Consider the following 11,312-nt stretch of genomic DNA (forward strand, 5'->3'; position numbering starts at 1 on the left):
AAGAGTATTATTTTCAAATAGGTGTAAACTTAACTTTGACCTTAGTATTTTATCAACACATACAAAGTTTCAAAAGTTTTACTATAAAAAGACAATCTTGGGTGAAAATAAAAACACTTTTAGATGAAGATCTCCACTAGGAAGACAAACACGTCCTATACAGGGCTAAGAGATAAAAATAAATGAATATAATACATAACCTATAAAAGTTTATTGTGGTAAAATAAGAAGAAGCAAGGGAGGGAGGAAGGAAGGAAGGGAGAGATATGATTTGGCTCTGTGTACCCACCCAAATCTCATCTTGCAGCTCTCATAATTCCCACATGTGGAAGAGCCCTGGTGGGAGATGACTGAATTATGGGAGTGGGTCTTTCCCGTGACGTTCTCGTGACAGCAAATAAGTTTCAAGAGATCTGACAGTATTATAAGGAGGAGTTTCCCTGCACAAGCTCACTCTGCCTGCTGCCATCCACACAAGATGTGACTTGCTCATCCTTGCCATCCGCCATGATTGTGAGGCCTCCCCAGCCATGTGGAATTGTGAGTCTAATTAAGCCTCTTTCTTTTGTGAATTGCCCAGTCGCAGGTATGTCTTTATCGGCAGCATGAAAATGGACTAATACAGTGGACTGGTACCAGTAGAGTGGGGCATTGATGAAAACATACCCGAAAATGTGGAAGTGACTTTGGAACTGGGTAACAGGCAGAGGTTGGAAGAGTTTGGAGGGCTCAGAAGAAGAAAGAAAAATGTGGGAAAGTCTGGAATTTCCTAGAGACTTGTTGAATGGGTCTCTGTGCTGTGTGCAGCCTAGGGACTTGGTGCCCTGCATCCCAGCTGCTCCAGCTGTGACTAAAAGGGTCCAAGGTACAGCTCAGGCTGTTGCTTCAGAGGGTGCAAGCCTCAAGCCTTGGCAGCTTCCACATGGTGTTGAGCCTGCCGTACACAGAACTCAATAATTGCCATTTGGGAACCTCTGCCTGGATTTTAGAAGATGTATAGAAATGCCTAGAGTCCAAGGTAAAAGTTTGCTGCAGGAGTGGGGCCCTCATGGAGAAGCTCTGCTAGGGCAGTGTGGAAAGGAAATGTTAAGTTGGAGCCCCAACACAGAGTCCCTACTGGGGCACTGCCTAGTGGAGCTGTGAGAAGAGGCCCACCATCCTCCAGACCCCAGAATGGTAGATCCACCAACAGCTTGCACTGTGCACCAGGAAAAGCTGCAGACGCTCAATACCAGCCCATGAAAGCAGCCAGAAGGGAGGTTGTAACCTGTAAAGCCACAGTGCCAGAGCTGCCCAAGAACATGAGAACTTACCTCTTGCATCAGTGTGACCCAGACACAAGACATGGAGTCAAAGGAGATCTTTCTGGAACTTTAAGATTTTACTACCCTGCTGGATTTTGGACTTGCATGGGGCCTTAGCCCCTTTGTTTTGGTCAATTTCTCCCATTTGGAATGGTTGTATTTACCCAATGCCTGTACCCCCATTTTATCTAGGAAGTAACTAACTTGCCTTTGATATTACAGGCTCATAGGCAGAAGGGACTTGACTTATCTCAAATGACACTTCGAACTTGGACTTTTGGGTTAATGCTGAAATGAGTTAAGACTTTGGGGGATGATTAGGAAGGGATGATTGGTTTTGAAATGTGACGATATGAGATTTGGGAGGGTCCGAGGCAGGATGATATAGTTTGGTTCTGTGTCCCCAGCCAAATCGCATTTTCTAGTTCCCATAAATCCCATGTGTTGTGGAAGGGACCCGGTGGGAGATGACTGACTTATGGAAGCGGGTCTTTCCCATGCTGTTCTCATGATAGCGAATAAGTCTTACGAGCTCTGATGGTATTATAAGAAGGAGTCCCCCGGCACAAACTCTCTTTGACTATCAGCATCCTTATAAGATGTGACTTACTTCTCCTTGCCTTCGGCCATGATTGTGAGGCCTCCCTAGTCACATGGAACTGTGAGTCCAGTTAAACCTCTTTCTGTTGTAAATTGCCCAGTCTCAGGTATGTCTTTATCAGCAGTGTGAAAATGGACTAATACAGGGAGGAAAGAAGGGAAGGAGGGAGTGAGGGAGGAAGAGAAGGAGGGGAGAGGGAGGGATGGAGGAAGGGAGGGAGGGAGGGAGGGGGGAGGGAGGGAGTTAGAGAGAGAAAGGAGGGAGAGAGGAGAAAAGAAAATCCATAATAAGAAATAAAACTTTACACAATATTAGGGTATCGTGGTCAGTTTCATTTATAGGATATAGCAGAGAAAGTTTATAGGATTCTTTGTTTTGTTTTTGGTTTATAGAAAAGTCTAGAATATTCACAAAGTCAATAAATTATAGGGGAAAATGAACATAATTATGGGTATTAAAGATTTGCTATGGGAAAAATTAGTAAAATTTCAATCCGTATGCAGTACTAAAAAACAGTCTGAAGCAACAAAATATTTGCACATACAGTAAAATGAATACACAAAATAAACTTTTGCCATTTCTGGTATGGCTGACCCTCACAAAGATAATAACTATAAACCCTGAACAATAAACAAAGAGGAAAGCTCTTTGAGAGTAAACAAAAGCATGGAGAGTTGGAAGTAGAGTTCAAATTTGGGAGAAAGAACTAGTGCAGAATGAGTTTTCTGTTTTATGATTTTTAACATGAAGGCAGGCCAAAATTTAATCAGAGGGTGATTGAAACTTTGATAGAAAACTTACAGTCTTTCTGACCTGAAGAACCAGAGGATAGAATGTGGGGTAGCCCACAGGTGCTGGAAAGTGAGGAGGGAACCTAGGAAAATAAGAGAGCCAGAGAGGTTGACAACCTGTGTATAAACTGTGACCACCTCTCTGACTGACCCCTGACACATGCCTGGGGTACAGCTGACTGCAAACAGCTCAGTTGGAGATAAAAAGAGCTGAACTCTGTTTGTTCTGCTGCTCAAGACACAGACTTTCAGTCTGAGTCCAACTGGGTTATTTCCCTTCTAAAATAAAAACATCACAAGTCTTCAGAGAACATGTAATTCATATATGGGAACTAAAAAAGTTGATGACATGGAGGTACATAGTGGTATAATAGATACCAGAGACTGGAGAGGGTGTATGTGGGCGGTGGGCAGGGGGGGTGCGAGTTGGGGGGAGATGGGTGAATAGAGATTGGTTAATGGGAAAAGCAAACCTACAGTTAGGTAGAAGGAATGAGTTGTAATGTTTGATAGCAGATTGTATTAGTCCGTTTTCATGCTGCTGATAAAGACATACCTGAGACTGGGTAATTTATAAAGAAAAATAGGTTTAATGGACTCAGAGTTCCATGTGGCTGGGGAGGCCTCACAATCATGGTGGAAGGTGAAAGGCACGTCTTACATGGCAGCAGATGAGAGAGAATGAGAGCCACGTGAAAGGAGAAAAAACTCTGATAAAACCATCAGATCTCATGAGACTTATTCACTACTATGAGAACAGTGTGGGGAACTCACCCTCATGATTCAACTATCTCCCACCAGGTTCCTCCAACAACATTTGGGAATTATGGGAGCTACAATTCAAGATAAGATTTGGGTGGGGACACAGCCAAACCATATTACAGAGTAAGGGGGATTTATAGTTAAAAACAATGTATTTCATTTTTCAAAATATTTAGAGAAGTGAGTACTTGAAATTTTCCCAAAACATAGAAATGGTAAATAATCTGGCGATGGGTACCCTAAATACCCTGACTTGATGATGACACATTCTATGCCTATAACATAATTATGTACAATACAATGTATCAAAAATTTCTTCAGAGAACTAGGTTAGATATTGTAGTTTCCACAACAAAACATTCCTAATGTCCAAGACACAATCCAAAGTACTCAAATTAATAATTAGGAAAATGTGGCTTATTCTCAAGAGATAAAACAATCAACCAAAATAAATATTTAAATGCCTCCAGATTTTGAATTAGAGTTTCAAAGCACATATTATTACTATACTCAATTAATTAAGCTACAATGTACAACATACTTACATTTATTAAAAATAAGAAAAAATGCAGCAGATAAATATAAACTATTAAAAACAAGAAAAGAAAATTTCTGGAACTGAAAACAAACAGTATCAGAAATTTAAAAATTCACTGGATAGCTGTATAATAGAATGTAGAATCTGTGAATGTGAAGGTAGATTTATAGAATGTATCCAATATGAAACGAGATCAAAAACAATGGTCAAAACCTCAAGGAACCATGGAGCAGTCACAAAAATTCCAAATACACTACAAGATGCTGTGAGAAACATCTCTCACCTCAAAGAGCACATATTGTAAGAATCTGTTGTTTAGGATTCTAGAATAGGAAAGTATAAAAAATCAGAAAAATTATTGTCTTTAGCAGAAACAGAATAGTAATGTTTGGGAAGAAAGATGGGAGAGCTTTTTAAGGTAAACTAATGTTCTATATCTTGATACAGTTTTTCAGTTAAACAGGTATATACACTTGCCAAAACTCAGCGAATGTACAATTAAAAATTTTGCCCATTATTTTTAAAGTTTTATGTTAAATACTGTAGGCAAATACTAAACTCTAGGTAATGATACACATATTATATAAATAGACCAAAGTGTGCTGATACCTGCAATGTGCTTTGAAATGACCCCAATATGATAGATTAATGGATGGAGAGAAGAATAAATAGATGGATAATAGACATTAATGGTTGAATCTGGGTAATGGGTCTATGGATACTCACAGTACACTTTGTACAACTTTGCTATACATTTGACATGTCTTATAATTAAATGTTGAGTGATAAAATTAGAAATTTTGTATTACAGCATTATTTTTGTAGATTAAAAACATAAATACAAAGCATTTCATATTATGCAGCAATATTAAATAAGAAATTTAAAACGACTTAGTGTGTGCTTATTACAGGGGAGAGAAAGAGAAAAGTTGAGATGATAAGGGGAAAAACGTATTTATATAATTTGGGATGACCAATGGCAATGAACAGAGGTGTGAGATTAGATCAACTCTTTGCATCTAAGATCCAAAATAGTTGTAATGCTTTAAAAGCCTATGAGAGATAATGTTCAATAAGGCAACCATCATATATCATGTAGCCAAGTATGAGGTGAGAAAGGATTGTTGGTCTATATTAGCATGGCTTAAAACGACTGAGTGTATTTTTGTTACTAGCTCTAAATTTATGAACTGGCTATATCCATAATGGTTCAGTCTGGTTCTGATGAAAACATTTAAATCTCTATGTAGGTCCCGTATTAAGTAGTGTTACAAAAAGAAAAGAAATATGGTTCCTCTGATAGAGTCAGAATACATAAATACACACACACACACACACACACACACACACACACATATGCACACACACAAAAATATATTTTCAGTCCTTTGTGCCATGTGACTTTTGTACTATAACTTAACTCCTAGGTTTTAAATGTCCTTATTTGTAGAATGAGAGAGGCAGGATCGAATACTTCCTTAACTCTTTTTGTTAGCTGCATCATTTTCTGGGGCGGGTCAGGGGACATTAGTGTAGATTAAGCCCAAAAATAATTGAACTTGGTGCTTTTCTAATTCCATCTGTGTAATATACTTGTGATATGACTAAGGACAAATTACTCTATTACACATGACCTGTATCCGTATCTGTAAAATGGAACAAAAAACGTTCAGGCTAACGCAGTTGTGAAGATTAAATAGTAAAGCACTTGGTAGACTACCAATCATGTAATACACTTTCAACAAATATTTTAGTTAATAAAAATTTCCATCTAGTTTTTTTTTCTGTGAAGTTTTCTCAGATCATCAAAAGCTCACATTAGCCTTTTAACTTGTGTCTGATTTGAACATGCCTCGGAGAACTCAATAAACACTTGTTGTTAGCAGCTCATTAGATATAATTTTTCTCCTGCTTCATGTAAGTAGAACCCTTGTTCTGATTCACCTGACAGATGCTGAACTCCCAAAGAGAGCCTTGTTAAACATCCAGCCAACTGGAGCACTTTTCAGTTCCAACTTCAAACACACCCACCAAACAAGCATTTATTTAACAAGAATCTCAAAGCATTTGTTAGCAGTCACTGTCACCTGAGTTCTGAAGCAATCTTTCTGCCAAAACTAACTCACTCTGTCCCAAACCCCTGCACCAATCCTACGATGTTTTCTTCTTTCAATTTTACATTTTTCTTAATTTAGTTTTAAACTCCAAGGACCATTTTATAAATGGTGAGCTTTATGTAGCTTTTTTCTTTTTTTTTTCCTTGTGTTGCAAGAGTGCTGACTAGAAACTGACAACTAGGTACTGGAAGCCAAGATTTTTTTTTTTTAATTTTATTTTGGATTCTGGTTCCCCAGAGCTAGGTAAATCTTTGTCCATCACTCATCCTCCATGAGCTTAACGATCTCTATGCTTGTCTTTGAAATGCCGCCTCATGTGGTCATGCCCTGAAAATGGAGGCTTTGTTTCCCGACTGACACTTTTGTGCAAGACATACGGGTCATGCTTATATTCTCTTCTTGCTGCCAGAGAAGCATTGTAAGTTACAATTGATGATGGCACTACCCTCTGTGATCCGATATAATTTACTGTGAAATCACTATCCATTTTTGACACTTAAGCTCTGCTTGCCAATTTGCAAGTCTGCTTACAGACCATCTAGCCATGGGGTCAAGCAATTATTCCGCAGGCCATTGTGAATTCTCTGATGTGGCTGCTCTCTATGTTATTTGATTAAGAGTGTGGCCTGGGGACATATACACACTCTTTTTAACAATGAACAATTAGGTAGAGAGGATTTGAGCATCACTGGTGTGATCTTAAGGACCTAAGACAGCCCTTCTGTCCTTTCTTTTCTACCTTAAGATACTTCCCTATTGATACTTCAAAGCGTTTTAACAGGTAGAAAAAAGTATTTTATTTTACTATTCATGCTTATTCTACCGGTAGAGATTCGTATTTAAAAGCAAATGCCCATGAGTTAACGAAGATTATTGGAGCTAAGTTGAACTTGTGTTGAGCAAAGTTAGTCCGTGTATGGGTGGCATAATATCCCCCCTTGCCACCCACAAGTTCATGTCCTTCCTGGAACCTCAAAATGTGACTTATTTGAAAGTAGGTTCATTGCAGATGTAATTAATTAAGATGAGGTCAAACTGTGACAGGGTTGGCCCTTAATCTAATCTGACTGTTGCCCTCTTAAGAAAATGAGGTCAGGCACGGTGGCTCACACCTGTAATCCCAGCACTTTGGGAGGCTGAAGCGGGAGGATCACGGGGTCAGGAGATTGAGACCATCCTGCCCAAGATGGTGAAACCCCGTCTCTACTAAAAATACGAAAATTCGCTGGGTGTGGTGGCACGAACCTGTAATCCCAGCTACTGGAGAGGCTGAGGCGGGAGAATTACTTGAACCCGGGAGGCGGAGGTTGCAGTGAGCCGAGATCGTGCCATTGCAGTCCAGCCTGGGCAACAAGAGAGAAACTCCATCTCTCTAAAGAAGCAGAAGCAGAAGCAGAAGCAGAAGAAGGGGAAGGGGAAGAAAGGGAAGAAAAGAGACATGCAGGTGAAGGCATGTGACAATAGAAGAGATTGGAGTGATATACCCACAAGCCAACGCATGCAAAATTACTGCTGCCCATACCAGAAGCTAAGAGAAAGCAACGGAATAGATTCTCCCCTCAAGCGATCAGCGAGAGCCGAGTCCTGCCAACACCTTGATTTAGGACTTCTGGCTTCCACAACCGTGAGACCAAAAATTCCTGTTATTTTAGCTACCTGTTTTGTAGAAATTTTTAAGGCAGCCCTAGGAAACTTATTAGTTCAATTGTATATGCAAATCTTGATAACGTAAGGGCTCTGAGCACCAGGCTAAAGGACAGAGAAAGGGGTGGGTACCCTGAAGAATAGCCCTTTATCCCATGCTTAGTAGCCCACCAAAACCTTTTAGAATTGGGGATATTTTAAATGTAAATTTTAAGAATGAGATCTCTTTCTCTCCCCTTCATTTTTATCATCTCCATTTCTTCCTCATTCTCATGTAAACTTCATAGCCTTCACCCATGTTTTGTTAAGGTCATTTTGGGCCATGTTTTAAGAATTATGTTATTTCTATCTCTGTAGTTTTTTGAGCTATCCAATATAAATGTCTCTATAGTGGCAATGATTAGTAAAACATTTGATACAATAGTGTTCTTTGTTTATTCATTGACTGATACTGTATAAATAAACAGTTATTGTGTACATGACATTTCAAAGCAATCATTTTTAGTGGCCATTTGGATGTAGACAGTTTCATCTAAGATATTTTGATATAGACTAATAAAAGTCTTTATTTATTATTTTTATTTCAGATTTATTTTAGATACAGGGAGACATGGAGATTTGTTACATGGGAATATTGGGTGATGGGTGAAGTTTGCAGTACAGATCCTGTCACCCCGATAGTAAGCATAGTATGTGATAGGTAGTTTTTATACCCCACCACAACCCTTTAGTGGTCCACAATTTTTATTTTTCTCATATTTATGACTATGTGTGCTCAATGCTTAGCTCTCACTTATAAGTGAGAACATGTGATATTTGGTTTTCTGTTTCTGCACTAATTTGCTTAGGATTATGGCTCTAGCTCCATCCATGTTGCTGCAAAGGACACGATTTCATTCTTTTTTATGGCTGTGTAGTATTCTATGGTGCATTGTACTACATTTTCTTTATCCAACCTACCACTGATGGGCATGTGAATTGATTCTATGTCATTGCTATTATGAATAGCACAATGATAAACATTAAAGTGCTTGTGTCTTTTTGATAGAATTATTTCTTTTCTTTTGAGTATATACTGAGTAATGGGATTGATGGGTTGAATGGTACCTCTGTTTTAAGTTATTTGAGAAATCTCCAAACTGCTTTCCACAGTGGCTGAACTAATTTACATCCTCTCCAACAGAGTATGTGTTCCCTTTTCTCTGCAGCCTTGCCAGCATCTGTTATTTTTTGACTTTTTAATAATAGCCATTCTCACTGGGGTGAGATGGCATCTCACTGTGGTTTTGGTTTGCATTTCTCTGATGATTAGTGATGTTCACCATTTTTTCATATGTTTGTTGGCCACTTATATATCTTCTTTTGAGAAGTGTCCATTCATGTCCTTTGACCATTTTTGAATGGGGTTATATGTTTTTTGCTTGTTGATTTGTTAAGGCCCCTATATATTTTGGATATTAGGTCTTCGTTGAATGCATAGTTTGCAATTATCTTCTTCCATGCTGTAGGTTGTCTTTTCGCTCTGTTGGTAGTTTCTTTTGCTATGAGGTACCTTTTCAGTTTAATTAGGTCCCACTTGTCTATTTTTGTTTATGTTGCAACTACTTTTGTGGACTTAGCCAAAATTTCTTTGACAAGGCCAATGTCAAGAAGAGTATTTCTTACATTGTCTTCCAGATTTTTATAGTTTGAAGTCTTACATTTAAATATTTCTTCCATCTTGAGTTAATTTTTGTACATGGTGAAAGGGAGAGGTATGACTTCAATCTTCTACATATGGCTAGCTAGTTGCCCTAGCATCATTTATTGAATAGGGAGTCCTTTAAAATCTTTTAATTGGCATAAGTCAACACTTATCCCTACCCTGAGTCTTTTCTCATCCCTGATTTATGCCAATCCTTTGGTGATCCTCAACTAGATGGCAACATGGGATTTGAATTAGGAGTTGGTGATGCACGATGCCTTTGATGAATTGTCAGTCATGGATACAATTAGGCAAGGATGAAGATCAGAAATGAGATAAGACTAAAAAGTAGTTGTCCAGTGTTTTAATTTTGCACACTTTTTTTTTTTTTTTTTTTTTTTGAGATGGAGTCTCTCTCTGTTGCCCAGGCTGGAGTGCAATGGCACCATCTCAGCTCACTGAAAGCTCTGCCTCCAGGTTTCATGTCATTCTCCTGCCTCAGCCTCCTGAGTACAGCTGAGCTGGGTGGCGAGCTGGGACTACAGACGCCCGCCACCACACTTGGCTAATTTTTTTTGCATTTTTAGTAGAGACGGGGTTTCACTGTGTTAGCCAGAATGGTCTCGATCTCCTGACCTTGTGATCCACCTGCCTCAGCCTCCCAAAGTGCTAATTTTGCACACTTTCAACTATATTTCTCACATAGCACCTAAACTGTATATTTTTAAATACAGTCTAACAGAGGAAGGGTTGCAGGGAAGAAGTCATGTTCTTACCTTTACAGAATTAACGTTTACCTTCTATACAAACGTGTCATGAAAGTATCATTTCTGACACTTAAACCCATTTAATTCACCACTCTTCAGTATACTTTTTAGCAAACACACTTATTATAGTGTAAATAAATCTATTTCCTTGTACTATGTGATTGGCATCTGACGTCAAGGATAATCCCATTCACCTTTGGTATTTATCAGAGTCCAGTGCAATTTAGATTTTTAATAAATGTTATTTAATTTGATCCAATAAAAAACTTCAAAAAAGTTAGAAAAGGCATACATCCAAAATTTAACAGTGCTTTAACCACAGCGTGTTACTTCTGTATTGTCTGAACACTTTACAATGTGCATGTTTTACTTTTTTAACATAAAAAGTGAAAAATAAAATGAGAAAAGGTTAGGATCAAATCTTTTGATTTCAATTTGCTGAATTCTTATATAGCTAACTTTCTAAACTTTGAGTCACACAGGAAATGTGTAGAAAGGAAAGGAAGGAAGAAAGGAAGAGAAAGGGGTAGAGAAAAAGGGAGGGAGGCAAGGTGGAAGAAAAAAAGGAAGATGACTCAGAATAAATTCACTGATTCTGATTTGGTTTATTATATAATCATAAACTAGAAATTCAGTTTTGTAATATTTGTGTGACCCAGGTAAATGAGCATATTGAAATAAGCTATGTTAAATTATAATTTGAATTATTTGTGCAGTTGTTGAAAATCACAGTTTCACTTGTACTCATGGAGAGATACAAAAAAGCATTCATAATGCATCCATAAAATGAGTCAATGGTCTCCCTGAAGCAACTCTAATAGGTGTCTAGAGTAATTAGTAATCATCCCTAATTGACTGCCTCTTAATTGTGTAATAGTTTTATTATTCAGGAGGTGCAGATGGCACAAATGATGGAGACCAGTTTAACAATTACATGTCCTAGTTACATGCCACGGGTTTGAACAGACAAAGCCTGTATTGAAAACAAATCCAAAATGGAGAATTTGAGCAGGATATTGGGATACTTAATGATTACTTGTAGTTTGAGTTATAATTTTTGCATTTTGCTGATGGTTAAGAAAGTAAGGCTTTGAATAGAAAGAG

The 11,312-nt window shown here is 38.3% G+C and overlaps 1 annotated feature.

Annotated features, from left to right (window-relative positions):
• Positions 10,559–10,728: an enhancer, noted in NCBI's record as "experimental_38415 CRE fragment used in MPRA reporter constructs". NCBI's record gives its function as "activates a minimal promoter by MPRAs in K562 erythroleukemia cells, with activity observed for the non-introgressed 14:86650616 variant allele {active_cell/tissue: K562}" and the evidence as "EXISTENCE:reporter gene assay evidence [ECO:0000049][PMID:34662402]".

This window comes from Homo sapiens, chromosome 14, assembly GCF_000001405.40.
Source record: "Homo sapiens chromosome 14, GRCh38.p14 Primary Assembly".
In the NCBI taxonomy this organism is placed as follows: Eukaryota; Metazoa; Chordata; class Mammalia; order Primates; family Hominidae; genus Homo; species Homo sapiens.